The sequence below is a fragment of the Homo sapiens genome, chromosome X, assembly GCF_000001405.40.
Source record: "Homo sapiens chromosome X, GRCh38.p14 Primary Assembly".
In the NCBI taxonomy this organism is placed as follows: Eukaryota; Metazoa; Chordata; class Mammalia; order Primates; family Hominidae; genus Homo; species Homo sapiens.
The window spans coordinates 2,951,224-2,968,510 of record NC_000023.11 but is presented as its reverse complement, the minus strand read 5'-3'; the positions used below and the strand labels follow the sequence as shown (position 1 = coordinate 2,968,510).

Genomic DNA, 17,287 nt, shown 5'->3' with positions numbered 1-17,287 from the left:
GAAGGGATTCCACCTTCCTGCCATTGAAAAACCCCGCGTTCAGCACCAGATGTCTGGGCTCCTTCCGCGAGAGTGAGGTTCTGCAAATAGAACAGAAGGTCTTTTGTGGACGCCTGAAAGACCCAGCAGTACATTCCTTGGGGACTTGCCTGATCTGTTTCTGGGACAACCTAACTTGGTTTCTGCGGAATTCCTGTTTTTGCTTTTCAGAGTGAATCAGCTACGCACATGCGTGAGCCAGCCGTTCAGTGCCGCCGAGACAGCCAGTGCGTGTCTGTTTTGGCAGGAAGAAGACGTTTCTTCCAAGGAGCAGCCTCCCCGCTACATCCAGCCAGTGTCGCCCTTACACAGCTGCATGTCAGGTAACTGGCCTTCCTGGGGCTTCTTCTTACAGGCCGGCTTTTGCACGTGCAGAGACGCTCCAGGGGATATTCTTTTATGCTAAACTGCGTCTTTTCAAACAAGTCCCTGTCAATGTTTTAAAAGTAATTTGCTTTCAAAAAATAATAATAATCATCAGTGAAAATCTCAAGTACAGATTTTACATGGGAGATTTCCAAACGTAATGCGTAAAAAAAAAGCAACGAGGGAAGATGCACCAAATGGGAGACATTGCATCCACACTAGATTCTTATCTTAGAGATGCTGAAGGCACGTGCACTGAACATCGAAGAGACACCGGAGGTGAAAAGCGAAACTGGGTTTGGGAACAGGGCCCAGGCGAAGCGTTGAACACAGGCTCGCAGCCCGGGGCTGAAGCTCAGGGCGGGAAAGGAGGGCTGGGATTCCTTCTCCCCGGAAGAGAATCAAAGGCTATATTGTCAGTCTTGCATGGGTGTTTCCTCGTCTGCTTCTTTTATCTTTATTTCTATTGCATTGTATTATATTTTACTGTATTCTATATTTTATTATTTTGTTTTATTTTAAATTCAGACAGGATCTTGCCGTGTTGTCCAGGCTGGTCTCAAACTCCTGGCCTCAAGTGATCTTCCCATCTCGGCCTCCCAAAGGCCAGAGTGTGCCAGCTGGGATTACAAGTGTGAGCCACCGCGCCCAGCCTCTTGTCTCTTTCTAAAGATACCTTGTGTCTTTAGAATAAAAAAGTAGAAAGTTTTATTCAGTAGTAAAAATTAAATCTGGACCAAAATGTTTAACATTCCAAGGGTTAAAGTGCAGAGTTCTTTGGAAAAGAAAAATCTGCTTTTATTGTGTCACTAAATACATAAATACATCAGTTCAGAGGTAGGCCACAGACTTGATATCTAACCGTACGTCATATGACTGTTCAAACATGTTTGAGGGTCCTATATTTAGACACCAATATAACCAGCCCGATAAAACAAACACAACCAGTCATGTTCCCCAGGCAAGTCAGAAGCAGCCCATAATATGCTTTTTCCTTGAAAAATCATGTACATATATATGTTATATGCATATATGTACTTGTTTTATATGTATATATGTACTATACATACACACATAAACATTTTTACTTTAAAAAGTACATATATTAACGTTACATGTATATACGTACATGTTTTATAGGTATATATGTTATGTATACATATATGTATGTATATATACATGCATGTACATGTATACATTATATACATATAAGCATACATATATGAACACATAAACATGTATGTAGATGTCTATAGGTACATGTTTATATGTTATATGTTTATATTTATACGTGCATATTATAACATGTATTTATATGTAGATGTGTACGTATATGTACATGTTTTATGTATCTATACATATATGTACATATATATTTTAAAGTATATATTATTTTTGTAAAGAAAAGCATGCATATTTTAATAAAGAAAAATTATGCTTTATTATATATTTATATATTATATTTATATATTTTATTGTTTTGTTTTTTTTTTCTAGAGATAGGCTCTCACTTTGTTGCTCAGACTTAACTTGAACTCCTGGGCTCAAGCAATCCTCCCACCTCGGCCTCCCTAAGTGCTGGGATTATAGGCGTGAGCCACCACACCCAGCCTTATTTACATATTTTATGTGATACATTTATACTATGTATGATGTACAAAAGTTATACTATATTATATATAATAATTATGAATATATAAATTAAAATATAGGTGAAAATATTCCTTTAGGCCCCCTACGAGGAAATGACTTAAGATTTGTTGCCAAAAATCACAAAGTGAAAGCAATTACCATTAGGGCACACACCTGTGGCAGGAAAAGAAAACATTTCTGACACCCCTCCTAATACTCGTTTTGAGACATGCCACCAAAACCGTCCACTTGTAAAAATGAGTCAGGCTGGAGTGTGCCAGCGTGTCAGCTCCTCATCCCAGAAGTAGGGTGGTTTCCACCCCCACATAAGGAGGAAGTGAGATCAGGTAGGCTATGTGACTTCTCACAGACCCAGCATGTGGCTGCATATGAAGTTGCGAAGAGACAGCAGGTGGAACTCTATGAAACCCCGTCCTTGTAGGTCAAGGATGGTTGAATAATAGGGACCATTGCGTAGGGTTCCATTCTACAGAGTAACTTCCCAGCAATGATCATGCAGTGCCTCAGAAACTGCTTCCTGCCCTCTTGGTCTTGTCTTGTCTTTTCTTTTTTGAGACGGAGTCTCACTCTGCCGCCCAGGCTGGAGTGCAGCGGCACAGTCTCGGCTCACTGCAAGCTCCGTCTCCCGGGTTCAAGCGATTCTCCTATCTCAGCCTCCCAAGTAGCTGGGATTACAGGTGCACGCCACCACATCCAGCTAATTTTTGTATTTTTAGTACAGACGGGGTTTTGCCATGTTGGCCAGGCTAGTCTCAAACACCTGACCTCAGGTGATCAGCCCACCTCAGCCTCCCAAAGCGCTGGGATTACAGGCGTGAGCCACCGTGCCCAGCCCGTCTTTTCTATGTTTTTAAACCAAGCATTGCTTGAAAATAATCCTTTTTTTACTTTTTTTTTTGCTTATTTTTTTTCTTTTTATCTTATGTTTATTATTATTATTACTATAATTTTTGAGACAGAGTCTCTCTCCGTTGCTGAGGCTGGAGTACAATGCTGCGATCTTGCCTCACTGTAACCTCCGACTCCGGGGTTCAAGCAATTTTCTTGCCTCAGCCTCCCGAGTAGCTGGGATTACAGGCATGTGACACCATGCCTGGCTAATTTTTCTATTTTTAGCAGAGACAGGGTTTCACCATGTTGGCCAGGCTAGTCTCGAGCTCTTGGGTTCAAGTGATCGGCCCACCTCGTCCTCCCAAAGTGCTGGAATTACAGGCATGAGCCACTGCGCCTGGCCTTTTTACTTCTTTTGTTTGTTTGTTTATTTACTTTAAGAAATGTTTTCTTTTTTATTTTTATCTTATCTTTATTATTTCTTATTTACTTCATTTACCACTCAACAAATAACTTCTTTAAAACATTTTTTTTTGAGGCAGGGTCTTGCTCTGTCACTCAGGCTGGAGTGAAACTGCAGCTTCAACCTCCCAGGCTCAAACAATCTTTCCACCTCAGCCTCCTGAGTAGCTGGCAGTAGAGACACATGCCACCATGCCTGGCTAATTGTTTTATTATTTATAGAGACAGGGTCTTGCTATGATGCCCGGGCTGGTCTCGAAGTCCTGGGCTCAAGCGATCTTCCTGCCTCAACCTCCCCAAGTGCTAGGATTATGGGCATAAGCCACACTGCCCAGCCTAATATTTTTTATTTTTGAAGAGACAGCATCTCACTTTGCTGCCCAGGCTGCTCTGAAACTCCTGGCCTCAAGCAATCTTCCTGCCTCGTCCTCCCAAAGCGCTGGGATTACAGGCATGAGCCACCATGCCAGGTTGGATATGATCATATTATAGCCAGCACCCTGTGTAACAGCACAGGCAATCACTTAAAAACCTAAGGACACTGGCAGAATACGGTGACTCACATCTGTAATCCCAGCACTTCGGGAGGCCAAGGAGGGCAGATCACTGGAGCTCAGGACTTTGAGACCAGCCTAGGCCACATGGCAAAACCCCGTCTCTACAAAAAATAAAACAAAATAAAAACCTAAGGAAACTGACCACTGGTTTGGTAGACGTGGGCGTGGCTTTGAGATTCCCCCATGCTGCGATGTGGGGGGAGTCTGCTCTGTCTGTCCTAACTCTCTCTGATCTTCTGACTTGGGAAAAACAAACTCGAAGTTAATCATTCCCAGCTCAAAGCCTTGTGCAAGTGCTCTCTGCCTTCACGCTTGCTTCCTTTGGGAGAGAACCTTCCTCTTCTTGATCGGGGATTCAGGAAGGAGCCCAGGAGCAGAGGTGAGTCCTGTGAATGTTCATTTGTGCTGGATTTGGGCTCCGTGACCAGGCATGAATAGCGTGGTGAACAAAGAGCTCCCCGTTCCCTTTTCTGTCTCTGAATAATTGCCCAGTTTGTTTTGATAAAGCAGAAACGTACCCGTGACTTACAGGCCTAGGAATGCAGCTCTTTCCTGGAGAAGGGGGATCTGTTTTCTAATCTGCAGGAGAGGCCTTGGGCAGGCCCCATGCTCTGGGTCACCTCAATGTCACAGTTTCCAAAATTAAACTCATTCAAGGCTGTTATCACCATCTCTTTATTTATTTAACGTTTTTCTCCAAGAAAAAATATTCATATTTTTACTTATAAATACATAACATTGCGGGAGAAAGAAAAATTAGGTCGGGCACGGTGGCTCACGTCTGTAATCCCAGCACTTTGGGAGGTCGAGGCGGGTGGATTGCTTGAGCCCAGGAGTTTGAGACCAGCCTGAGCAAAAGAGGAAACCCCACCTCTACTTAAAAAAAAAAAAATCAATAGCCAGGCATAGTGGCATGTGCCTGTAGTTTCAGCTACTTGGGAGGCTGAGGTAGGAGGATCGCTTGAGCCCAAGAATTTGAGGCTGCAGTGAACTATGGTCGCACCATTGCTCTCCAGCCTGGGTGAAACAGCCAGACCCTATCTCAAAAAAAAAAAAAAAAAAAAAAAAAGGAAAAGAAAAGAAAAATTAGAAAAAGAGCACTTTTCCTAAATCTCCACACCCAGAGATAAACCACTGCTGGGCAGGATTGCTGCAAAAACCATCTTCCCCTAGTTTGTGGTGGTTTGGGGTTTTCTCATTACATTTGTACAGTATTTTGCTTTTATTCCGTTTTCTGACCATTGGCAGCATGTCATTGTAGGTCAGAAAGCAATGCTGAGGGTATTAAAATGCTCATTTTGGTTTTCTCTCCATGTACAATTTTAAATCAATCTCTTTCCCGGTGAAGATGCTATTAGGTTGGTGAAACGTAATTGCGTCTTTTGCTATTACTTTTAGAATATGAGAATTGTGTGTGCTCTCTAGGGTAAAACAAACGAACAAATAAACAAAAAAACCTCACGAGCACGGCGTACACCTTATCCCTTCCTTCTGTGTTCTAAACAAAGCACAAATGATATCTAAGGTCTTTTTCTCTTCGACAGACAGAAAATTATTGGAGATGTAGCAATTCAGTGTTAGACATCCATCAATAATGTAAGAAGTGCATTGATTCGGTCTGGAAAGGCCGGAAAACTTGAAGCAAAGGCAGGAAGACTGTAAGCAGGGAGGGGGCTTCCAGGTCACAGATAGGTGAGAGAGGAACAGTTGCCTTCTTTTGAGTTTCTGATGAGCCTTTCCAAAGGAGGCAATCAGATACGCATCTATCTCAGTGAGCAAAGGGGGGACTTTGACTAGAATGGGAGGCAGAGGCCCTAAGCAGTTCCCCGCTTGACTTTTCCCTTTAGCTTATTGACTTGCGGGCCTTGAGATTTATTTTCCTTTCACAAAGCTCATTGTCTTTCTCAGAAGACTGGTTTTGTGCCTGAATCCTGCTAGGAGCAAACACCCCTCCCAGCATCCCCGAAAAGGCGTTGAGGGGAAATCCCTCAACCAATCGCTTCTCTCCCACTCACACCCTGGGGTTTCGCAGCCCTGCGGACCTTGCCCACCCCTCCTCTCTGCCCTCCCCGCTCCCACACCAGCTGTGTCTATCCTTGGTCAGGTTTCACCTGGACAGACACCACGGCCACTTCTAGGCTCTCAGTGCCTGCTGGCTCCAGTGTGTCCTCACTCACTGGCCGCTCGGCCCTTCTAAAAGTGGCCAGGTCACTCCCCTGGTTACTCAGAGGCAGAAACCCAACACATCTGCATGCTCCTGTCTCTTTATCTTCTATGCATGCCCATGTCCTGTCAACGAAAAGAAGCGAACTCTGTAGAATATTTGAAGAGATTTATTCTGAGCCAAATAAGAGTGACCATGGCCCATGACACAGCCCTCAGGAGGACCCAAGAACGTGTGCCCAAGGTGGTCAGGGTGCAGCTTGTTTTATACATTTTAGGGAGGCATGAGGTGTCAATCAAATACATTTAAGATACACATTGGTTTGGTCCAGAAAGGTGGAACAACTCAAAGTCAGGGGGCTTCCAGCTTATACATAGATTTAAACATTTCCTGGTTGACAATTGGTTGAGTTCATCTAAAGACCTGGGATCCTAGGAGGCTGAGGCAGGAGAATCACTTGAACCCGGGAGGCGGAGCTTGCAGTGAGCCAAGATCGCGCCATTGCACTCCAGCCTGGGCAACAGAGCAAGACTCCGTCTCAAAAAAATAAAAAAGAAAGATTAAAAAAAAAAAAAAAAAACCCTGGGATCCCTAGAAAAGAAATCTTCAGGTTAAGAGAAAAGATTGTGGAGACCAAGGTTATTTTGAAGTCTTGTAGCGGCTGCCCTTAGAGACAATAGATGACAATTGTTTCCTATTCAGACTTTTAAAAGGTGCTAGAGTCTTAGTCAATCTTTTCAGGATTGGAAGGGTCCGGTAGAAAAAGATGTGAATATCTATGTGAATAGAGATTCTTTACATCTTTACAGATGCAAATTTTTCCCCACAAAGGACAGCTTTGCAGGGCCATTTCAAGATATGGCAAAGAAACATGTTTTTGGGTAAAATATTTTGATTTTCTTATTGGTCTCATGTTATGCCAGAGTCAGATTGGAAAGTAAGTCACAATATATAGTTAAATGAAACCCTTCTGATGAGAATTTTTGGTTTGTAGGGCATGACTCTCCAGACCCCTTAGATAGGAATTTGGGCAAGATAAAAAGAAAAATCAGAGCTTCGTCCTCAGTCCCATGCACAAGCCACATGGGGTCAGACCACTGCAGTACCCTGAAGGTGACCTCTTGCTGCCTGCAACTCTAATTGTTATCTTCCATCTCATTCCTTTCCTGCTCTACACCCTGGGCTCTCCCTCACTTCTCGGCGAGACTGAGGGGCCGCCCCTCTGTGCTTTGGGGGTCGCCCGTTTCCCTCTGTGGACAGAACATTTCCAAGTGTGGGCAATGGTCGCCCCCTCTCCCGGCAGCACCTACCCCTAGCAATGAAGGCGAATGCGTCTCTCCTTCATGCAGCACTCAGTGCCTGCAGAGTCCTCTAGGCCTTTTTCCTTCACACTGACACTCCCAGTTCTGTTTTCAAGTCTGGACCTCCTGGGCTCAAGCAAATCCTCCCACTTCCGCCTCCCAAAGTGCTGGGATTCCAGGCATGAGCCACCACGCGCAGCCTCTCATTGTATTTCTGATCTTCATACCCTCTACTCAGATTCTTTTGTGTATCATCCAAGCTTTGATCTTTCCCCGCTTCCCCCTTCCAAATCAGGACTCTCTCTCTGCATTTCTGGACATTAGGAATCACCCCTGCCCTGGGCTCGGGAAGCAGAAGACAAAATAATCTGCTTCCGGACACTGGGATTCTCTCATCACTTTGTGATCACTCATGGGCTATGAAAGCTGATAAAGGGGATGGAGACCCTATGACCACTTTCTTCCTCTTTCTCTGAAGACCATCTGGCTGTGTATTGAAACACGTTTTACATTCTTAACATAGTATTAAACATTTTTGAAGCCTTTTCACTCGGGAAGAGCATTCCTTTATAGATTTTGATCATTGTTTTAAGATATTTTTGCTATTGATATCATGAACGGGAATCAAAGTTCCCCTAATTACTTACTTACTGTTTTATTTATAATCAGGTCAATTTCTGCTGTCAATGTGATTGTGGACATCTTTATGTCTTACAGGAAGTAGAGAGAGAGACAACATGTTACATCTGCACCATTCTTGGTAAGATACAATTATATGCACTCATTAGTAGTCTCCTTTCTTTCTTTCTTTCTTTCTCTTCCTTCCTTCCCTTCTTTCTCTTCTTTTTTTTTTTTTTTTTTTTTTTTTTGAGACGGAGTCTCACTCTGTCGCCCAGGCTGGAGTGCAGTGGCGCGATCTCGGCTCACTGCAAGCTCCGCCTCCCGGGTTCACACCATTCTCCTGCCTCAGCCTCCCGAGTAGCTGGGACTACAGGCGCCTGCCACCACGCCCGGCTAATTTTTTGTATTTTTAGTAGAGACGGGGTTTCACCGTGTTAGCCAGGATGGTCTCGATCTCCTGACCTCGTGATCCGCCCGCCTCGGCCTCCCAAAGTGCTGGGATTACAGGCGTGAGCCACCGCGCCCGGCCTCTTTTCTTTCTTTCTTTCTCTTTCTTTCTTTCTTTCTTTCTTTCTCTCTCTCTTTCTTCCTTCCTTCCCTTCTTTATTTTTTTTCCTTTCTTATATAGAGACAGGGTCTCACCATGTTGCTCAAGCTGGTCTTAAACACCTGGGCTCAGGCAATGCTCCCACCTTGGCCTCCCAACGTGCTCAGATAATGGGCATGAGCCACCACGCCTGACCGCTTCTGGATCTCTTGATGGTGCTTTCTCAGAATGCACTGATAGTGATTTATCCTGCATCTGGAGAATGAAGCATGAGACCCGTGATTAATAGATGTGCTCCAGGCTCCCTTGATTTGATGTTGCCCCAGGCAGCCTCAGAAGGAATTGTATTTCATTCTCTGCAAATCAGGTGGGCATCAACCGCTACCATCGGCCAGGTGTCTGGTTTTCCAGGGAAAATCAGGGTTTCCCCTACTACAAACCTTGGAGACTCAGATTACATCTTTACTGCATCCCACTGGGGATTGGGACACTATGGCCCTGCTGTCCATGTGCATTCCCAGGGTGGCATCGATGAAAGAGGCAGCAATGATAGTGGCAGGCTGTATGTCACCAACCCCTGCGGAAATGTTCCCTCATGGTACGCAACTACCAGGGCTTTCTCCTCCAGGCTGGAACCTCCTTCACCTCCAAACCCACTTCTCATCAGATACCAGTGGGCTAAAGAAGTCAGTCCTGGGTATTTTCATCTGTGTGCTACAATGAACAGAGGGTTTTCATAGACTCAGAAGTAGCAGCTCACTGTGTTCTCACCTTGCCCCAAGCTTGTGTCTCTTCCTTGCTCTGCTGGGTGGTCCAAACCCTAACCCCAGCCTCCATTCCCTATGTTCAACACAGTTTGCTTAAGGAAGAACAATGAAGAAGAGGGAATGGAGAAGGGGCAATAGCTGTTCTGGGGACCCGATCCATCCAAGAAACCATGACTAAGGCAGGCTTTCTGGCTGTTTTTGCTTTTTCTTGTTGCTGTTGTAGTTTTGAGACAGCCTTGCTCTGTTGCCCTGCAGTGGTGCGATCTCAGCTCGCTGCAGCCTCAACCTCCCAGGCTCAAGCGATCCTCCCACCTCAGCCTTCCCAGGAGTTGGGACTACAGGCACGTGCCACCACGCCCAGCTAAGCTGTGTATTTCTTGTAGAGATGAGTTTTCACCATGTTGCGCAGGCTGGTCTTGAACTCCTGTGGTAAAGCAATCCACCCGCTGCAGCCTCACAAAATACTGAGATTACAGGAGAGAGCCACTGCACCCCACCAAGGCTTTCTGTTAATCATGAGTTTAATCACTTAACAACAGACTTTACAGCATCAAAAAAAACCCAAAAAACTTCAAGGCCAAATAAAGCCATCAACGGTATCAGTTAATTGTAACCAGAGAAAAACAATCAAATGCCTAAGAGATGTCCTCAAAGCTATTCTGAAATGTGATGATAATATCAATACCTCTTAAAATAGTGATGCCAACTTCCCCCATACACAAGTTCTGCAAATGAGATGGACAGGAGCATGACGCAGTCTCTGACAGTTTGTGTTTCAGGAGCTGGCTGCCAGCGATGCTCGCTGTACTGCTAAGTTTGGCACCATCAGCTTCCAGCGACATTTCCGCCTCCCGACCGAACATCCTTCTTCTGATGGCGGACGACCTTGGCATTGGGGACATTGGCTGCTATGGCAACAACACCATGAGGCAAGGGACAGAGAATTACTCACCTGGTGCCCCCAATGCAGACACCAGAAGAAAGAGAAGCCACTGAAAATGCATATAACCCTTGATCTTGGCAGTTCACACTTCAAGAGTTCTGCACTTCTGCGTTTTCTAACTCTCCCTAATGTTACTTTCTTCCCATGCCAGCACTAACCTCACCTCAATCCATCCTACATATGACTGCTCATTTCATTTTTATTTTTATTTATTTATTTTTATTTTTTATTTTTCTCTGAGACAAAGTCTTGCTCTGTGGTCCAGGCTGGACTGCACTGGTACAATCACAGCTCACTGCAGCCTTGACCTCCCAGGTTCAAGTGATCCTCCTGCCTCAGCCTCCCGAGTAATTCTGGGACTGCAGGTGCCCACCATCATGCTTGGGTAATTTGTAAGTTTCTTGTAGAGGTGGGGTTTTGCCGTGTTGCCCAGCCTCGTCTCGAACTTCTGGGCTCAAGTGATCCACACACCTCAGCCTCCCAAAGTGCTGGTATTGCAGATGTAAACCACCATACCTGGCCTCATTTCTTTTCTTTTTTTTTTTTTTTTTGAGACAGAATCTCACTGTGTTGCCCAGGCTGGAGTGCAGTGGTGCGATCTCGGCTCACTGCAACCTCCGCCTCTGCGATTCCAGTGATTCTCCTGCCTTACTCTCCAGAGTAGCTGGGATTACAGGCGCCCGCCACCATGCCTGGATAATTTTTCTATTTTTAGTAGAGACAGGGTTTTGCCATATTGGCCAGGCTGGTCTCGAACTCCTGGCCTCAAGTGATTCACCCGCTTCAGCCTCCCAAAGTGCTGGGACTACAGGTGTGAGCCACTGTGCCTGGCCTCATTTCATTTTTTAAATATGATTTTTATCCACCCAGTACATAATGGACAATGCTTTAGAAATGCTATCAGCCGGGCATGACTGTAATACCAGCCCTTTGGGAGGCTGAGGCAGGAGGATCACTTAAGGCCAGGAGTTCAAGACCAGCCTGGGAAACATAGTGAAATCCTGTCTCTAGAAAATATAAACATTAATTTTTTTTTTTTGAGACGGAGTCTCGCTCTGTCACCCAGGCTGGAGTGCAGTGGCATGATCTTGGCTCACTGCCAGCTCCGTCTCCCGGGTCCACGCCATTCTCCTGCCTCAGCCTCCCAAGTAGCTTGGACTACAGGCGCCCACCACCACACCCCGCTAATTTTTTGTATTTTTAATAGAGACGGGGTTTCATCATGTTAGCCAGGATGGTCTCAATCTCCTGACCTCGTGATCTGCCTGCCTCAGCCTCCCAAAGTGCTGAGATTACAGGCGTGAGCCACCACGCCTGGCACATTAATTTTTAAATTAAAAAAAAAATTAGCCAGGCATGATGGCATGCACCTGTAATCCTAGTTATTCAAGAGGGTGAGGTGTGGGAGGATCACTTGAGCCCAGGAGTTTAAGGTTGCAGTGAGCTGTGATCAGACCACTGCACTCTGGGCGACAGAGACCCTGTTTCAAAAAGTAGGCTGGCCGTGGTGGCTCACGCCTGTAATCCCAGCACTTTGGGAGGCCAAGGCAGGCTGATCACTTGGAGGTCAGGAGTTCGAGACCAGCCTGGCCAACATGGTGAAACCCCCGTCTCTACTAAAAATACAAAAATTAGCTGGGCATGGTGGCGGGCACCTGTAATCCCAGCTACTTGGGAGGCTGAGGCAGGAGAATCACTTGAACCCGGGAGGGGGAGGTTGTAGTGAGACTCAAATAGTGCCACTGCACTCCAGCCTGGGTGACAGAGTGAGACTCAGTCTCAAAATACAAACAAATAAACAAACATACAGGAGAAATCAGTGTCGTTGCCTGTAAGCAGAAGACCAATATTGATCTCTGTCTCACTCCCAACCCTATCCATCTAGCCAAGCCCAGCACTTATGCGGGATTTCAATCCTCCCCTGCTGAAAAGCTCTGCTTCAGACAGACAAGTCCACACCCTCCTAATGCCAAAATATGGCGTGTCCATCTGTCAAGAGCTAGAGCTAGTCCGTCCTCCTGTCCGAATTCCAGCCTTCCACCCTCATGTAGTACTTACAGTGTGTTGGCGTCCATGAAGTCAAACCTTCCCATGAACACTGTGAGCTCCAGAGAAGGTGCCCTGGGCTCTCAGTTCTGCATTCCCTCTGAGGTCGGTCTCTCAGTACCAACAGTGCCTTGTGGAAACTTAGTCACTCTATCTACTCATTCATTTATTTATTTTAGAGACAGGTTGTCTCTCTGTCACCCAGGTTGAAGTGCAGTGTTGCAATCACAGCTCACTGCAGCTTCAAACTCCTGAGCTCAAGCAATCCTCCTTCCTCAGTCTCCCAAGTAGCTGGTTCTACAGACATGCACCACCAATCCTGGCTAATTTTTCTATTTTTGTAGATTTTTTTGTAGAGACAGGGTCTCGCCATGTTGGCCCGGCTGGTCTTGAACTCCTGGCCCTAAACGATCCTCCCGCTGTGGCTTTCCAAAGTGCTGGGATTACAGGCATGAGCCACCGCGTCCAGCCACTCATTCCTATTTAAATGAGTTGATGTTTCCTCGAAAGTTCAGAAGACATTAGAAATCTTTGACATTACCTTTGGGTCATTCCTGAGAACATCTTGAAGCACTCAGCGATGACCAGCAGACCTTCTATGAAGTAGCATGTAGCTATGCTTATGAAAAGCCTGTCTAATTTTAACAAGTAAAGCTGTTAATTTGTCCCTCCATAGGACTCCGAATATTGACCGCCTTGCAGAGGACGGCGTGAAGCTGACCCAACACATCTCTGCCGCATCTTTGTGCACCCCAAGCAGAGCCGCCTTCCTCACGGGCAGATACCCTGTGCGATCAGGTCAGTCTCTCTTTACAACTGCACTAGGGTGCAGCCTGGTGTATTCGTCACAGTTTCTAGTTCTTACATTTTGGTTTTTTTATTTTTTATTTAAATAGAGACTGGGGGGTGTTCTCTCTATCTTGCCCATGCTGGTCTTGAAATGCTGGGCTCAAAAGATCCCCGCTCCTTGACCTCCCAGAGTGCTGGGATTACAGGCATGAGCCACCGTGCCCAGGCAGCTTTTATATTCTGATGCTTTGACATCTTAGGGCTTTGCTGACCTTGGCAGGACTGGCCCTCCCAGGGCTAGCCAATTCTTAGAGATAGCAAACAAGTCACCTGGGAGTGCACCTTTCATGCATAAACCAAACAGTCCAGAGCCCACACCCCCAACCATCACTTTTATGAGATTTTCATATATGGGGCTACTCTCTCCTTGCCCTAATCCCCCCAGAATCAGGTACCAGCTTTCTAGGGACAGCCCCTGCAGATGAAAGCCCACGGAAATTGTACAACCTGGCCAGTCTTAAGCCGGCTTACCCTACCTTGCCCATTACTTTCCAAAAAAGAAAAACAATAAATAAGAAAGGCTTTTTCCATGCTTTCCCCTCACTCCCTCTGCCTCCTGACCAACCCTGGAGCTTCCCCATATAGTCACACAGCATGGCTCACCCCTGCGTCCTCTTGAACTGTGAGTAATAAACTATCAGAAACTGTGAGTAATAAACTATCTCTCCAATGACAGTCATCTCCTGATCTGTTGGCCTTGCCATAGCTGAATGATAAAACCTTAATAATAATAATACATAACACCTACATTTTAAAGCACTTGGGTAGAGGCTGGGCACGGTGGCTCATGCCTATAATCCCAGCACTTTGAGAGGCTGAGGCAGGCAGATCACCTGAGGTCAGGAGTTCAAGACCAGCCTGACCAACATGGGGAAACTCCGTCTCTACTGAAAATACAAAAATTAGCTGGGCGTGATGATGAGTGCCTGTAATCCCAGCTACTTGGAAGGCTGAGGCAGTATAATTGCTTGAACCCGGGAGGCGGAGATTGCAGTGAGCCGAGATGGCGCCACTGCACTCCAGCCTGGGTGACAGAGCAAGACTCTGTCCCAAAACAAACAAACAAACAAAAAAACCCTTGGGTAGAGATTTGGAATGTCTGGAGAGCAGAATAAAATTTTATCAGTGGCTACCAACCTTGTCAGTACGTTAGAATCATCCAGAGGATATTCCCACCATCCCAAAGCCCAAGTTCCACCCAAGACCAATGAAAATTAGCACCCCTGGGGTGATAACCAGGCGTCAGAATATTTTGAAGCTCCCCACACGATTCCAATGGGCAGACAACTTTGAGAACCTTTAGATTATATCAAGAGTTTGATGAAATTATAAAATCATTTTTAGTTCAGGCACAATGGCTCATGTTTCTAATCCCAACACTTTAGGAGGCTGAGGTGGGAGGATTTACTTGAGTCTAGGAGTTCAAGACCAGCCTGGGCAACATAGTGAGACCCCGTCTCTGCCAAAAAATTAAAAATATTAGCTAGGCATGGTGATGAGCCCCTATAGTCCCAGCTACTTGAGAGACTGAAGTGGGAGGATCAGTTGAGCCCAGGAGTTCAAGGCTGCAGTGATCTATAGTCATGCCACTGCACTCAAGCCTGGGTGACAGAGTGAGACCCTGTCTCTGCAAAAAATTTAAAAATTAGCCAGGTGTGGTGGTGCACACCTGTAGTCCCAGCTACTCAGGTAGCTGAGGTGGGAGGATCGTTTGAGCCCAGGTGGTTGAGACTGCAGTGGACATTGATTACACCACTGCATTCCAGCCTGGACGACAGAACAAGACCCCATCTTTAAATAAATTAATTAACAAACAAAAAACCATTTAAATTTTTAGTCCTTTTTCACTGAATTATATTGCTTATAACCTGCACATAACAGGAAAGTCCATCTTCTCGCTAAGGTTTTCAATAAATTAATCATTTACTTTGCTGCCAAAAATGCAATCCACTAGGCAAAGTCATATAGGAAGTCCATTTTCAATTTAATTTTAAGTAAGAGAGATTTTTACCAAGTGTTCTATTTTTGAATAAATAATAAATAACAAACAGGAAAAAAAATGTGGAACAGTAATTCTTTCTCTTAATAATTGCTCAAAGGGATGGTTTCCAGCATTGGTTACCGTGTTCTTCAGTGGACCGGAGCATCTGGAGGTCTTCCAACAAATGAGACAACTTTTGCAAAAATACTGAAAGAGAAAGGCTATGCCACTGGACTCATTGGTATGTACGTTTTTAAAAGTGGTAAGCACATGACTTTTATATGGAAGGGACATTCAGCTAAAGAGTTTGGAAAGGAAAGTGGGTGAGGTGCTGTGGGATTTCCCACTAGACAGAAAGCTGCATGTATCTAGGAACCATGTTCCTTTCCAGGTTGTTTTCTGCAAAGTAGATACTCAAGAAATACCAGCTCAGGCAAGGTGGCTCATGCCTATAATCCCAGTACTTTGAGAGGCCGAGGCGGAAGGATTGCTTGAGCCCAGAAGTTTGAAACCCGCCTGGGCAACATAGCAAGACCCCACGTCTACAAAAAAATACATAAAAATAAATTAAAAAATAAATAAAATGTGCTCATGCCTATGGCATATGTTCCAAGCTCCATTGCACAACACATAATTGCTTCTTTGTTCTGTGGGATCCTCTCCCACCCTTCACATGGACTTTTTGTCTTAGACATGAATGTCTTAGACTGAACACCTTCAGCTCTTTTCTGGTTGGTTTATGGATCAACTTGGCTAGTTTAGTGCTGCCATCTAAATGTTTGTGTCCCCCTAAAATTCCTATGTTGAAACCCTTACCCCCCAGGTGATGGTGGCAGGAGGTGAAGCCTTTGGGAAGTGATGAGGTCGTGAAGGTGGAGCCTCATGTGTGGGATTAGTGCCCTTACAAAAGTGACTCTGGTCAGGCGCGGTGGCTCATGCCTGTAATCCCAGCACTTTGGGAGGCCAAGGTGGGTGGATCGCTTGAGGCCAGGACTTTGAGACCAGCCTGGGCAGCATGGCGAAACCCTGTCTCTACGAAAAAGAAAAAGAAAGAAAGAAAAGGAACATCAACTTAATGAAATATTTGGCATCTCAAACAATGTTCTCGTAGGCCATGATAAAAAAAAATAAGAAAAAATATATTCTTGCATCAAAAATTTCTGTAATGCTACCTATTTTTCCCCTTGGTGTGTATGAAAATGTCTTTACTAGATTTAGTACCTCCCTGTCAGCTTCCATAACTAACATGGTTATTTTTCTACAAGTCAACAAACATGTCATGTATTGGATGAAAAATAAAATTAATGACAACAGTTCCTTGAGAGGAGACCAAGTTGCCATTATCATTATTGTGTTATAGTAATGATTGTTATCAACAGTTCCATTTATTGATAACAAACAACATGACTAGTGGATACAATGAGTATAAAATTCAATAAACTATATTTCTAAAAATTAAAAATTATAAAATGTTCTTTGTTTAATTTTTTACCAAAAAAAAAAAAAAAACAAATTCTGGGGAGATTCAGTCATCGCTGTCAAACAAAGGTGTATTTTTTCCAATAGACTTTTTTTTTTTTTTTAAACAGGGTACTCACTCTGTTACTCAGGCTAGAGGGCAATGGTGCAGTCACAGCTCACTGCAGTCTCGACCTCCCAGACTCAAGTGATCCTCCCACCTTAGTCTCCCAAGCAGTTGGTACTACAGGCTTGCACCACCATGCCCGGTTAATTTTTTCTTTTTTTTCTTTTTTTTTTTTTTTTTTTTTGTAGAGATGGGGTCTTCCCATGCTACCCAGGCTGGTCTCCAGCAATCCTGGGCACAAGGAATCCTCTCACCTCGGCCTCCCAAAGTGCTGGGATTATAGTTGTGAACCACCATGCCTGGCCAACTATAATTTTTCTAAGACAGAAGAGTCTATCCTTAAGGGATATCCATTGGGAAATCATGAGGTTTTCCAGATGGCAGACAGCATTGGGGTGGTTGACATCTCTTTGTCAACACCATAGTAGTGGCTACATGGAAGCAAAGACTATATTCCTTTGACTGAATTTGAAAGGTGTGCCTTGCAAAACCCACCACCCACTTCAACCATGGCCACTATGATAGTGGTTTCTCAAAGAGAGAACAATTCCAAAGTCCAGAAGTCTTTTGCCCAT

The 17,287-nt window shown here is 44.9% G+C and overlaps 1 protein-coding gene across 10 annotated transcripts in view, besides 4 other annotated features; it reads left to right on the top strand.

Moving 5' to 3' along the window:
* The window catches only part of ARSL (arylsulfatase L), a 33,725-nt gene continuing 16,703 nt past the window's right edge, over window positions 266–17,287 (top strand). For 2 of the 10 annotated variants that reach the window (XM_047442110.1, NM_001369079.1), the window contains exons 1-5: window positions 266–362; window positions 8,091–8,133; window positions 10,076–10,237; window positions 12,974–13,095; window positions 15,246–15,368. In XM_047442110.1, the coding sequence (XP_047298066.1) occupies window positions 356–362; window positions 8,091–8,133; window positions 10,076–10,237; window positions 12,974–13,095; window positions 15,246–15,368 (457 nt within the window). In that variant the 5' untranslated portion in view covers window positions 266–355. Of the gene's footprint in view, window positions 363–4,169; window positions 4,288–8,042; window positions 8,134–8,622; window positions 8,909–10,075; window positions 10,238–12,973; window positions 13,096–15,245; window positions 15,369–17,287 lie in introns of those variants that run through there. The other 8 variants (XM_011545521.2, NM_000047.3, NM_001369080.1 and 5 more) reach the window with 7 other exon arrangements.
* Window positions 2,472–2,531: an enhancer, noted in NCBI's record as "active region_29373". NCBI's record gives its function as "activates an Ori minimal core promoter by ATAC-STARR-seq in GM12878 lymphoblastoid cells {active_cell/tissue: GM12878}" and the evidence as "EXISTENCE:reporter gene assay evidence [ECO:0000049][PMID:35858748]".
* Window positions 3,862–4,685: an enhancer, noted in NCBI's record as "H3K27ac hESC enhancer chrX:2881867-2882690 (GRCh37/hg19 assembly coordinates)". NCBI's record gives its function as "activates a minimal SCP1, AML or CMV promoter by ChIP-STARR-seq in naive H9 embryonic stem cells {active_cell/tissue: H9 hESC(naive)}" and the evidence as "EXISTENCE:reporter gene assay evidence [ECO:0000049][PMID:30033119]".
* Window positions 6,336–7,161: an enhancer, noted in NCBI's record as "OCT4-NANOG-H3K27ac-H3K4me1 hESC enhancer chrX:2879391-2880216 (GRCh37/hg19 assembly coordinates)". NCBI's record gives its function as "activates a minimal SCP1, AML or CMV promoter by ChIP-STARR-seq in naive and primed H9 embryonic stem cells {active_cell/tissue: H9 hESC(naive and primed)}" and the evidence as "EXISTENCE:reporter gene assay evidence [ECO:0000049][PMID:30033119]".
* Window positions 7,162–7,985: an enhancer, noted in NCBI's record as "NANOG-H3K27ac-H3K4me1 hESC enhancer chrX:2878567-2879390 (GRCh37/hg19 assembly coordinates)". NCBI's record gives its function as "activates a minimal SCP1, AML or CMV promoter by ChIP-STARR-seq in naive and primed H9 embryonic stem cells {active_cell/tissue: H9 hESC(naive and primed)}" and the evidence as "EXISTENCE:reporter gene assay evidence [ECO:0000049][PMID:30033119]".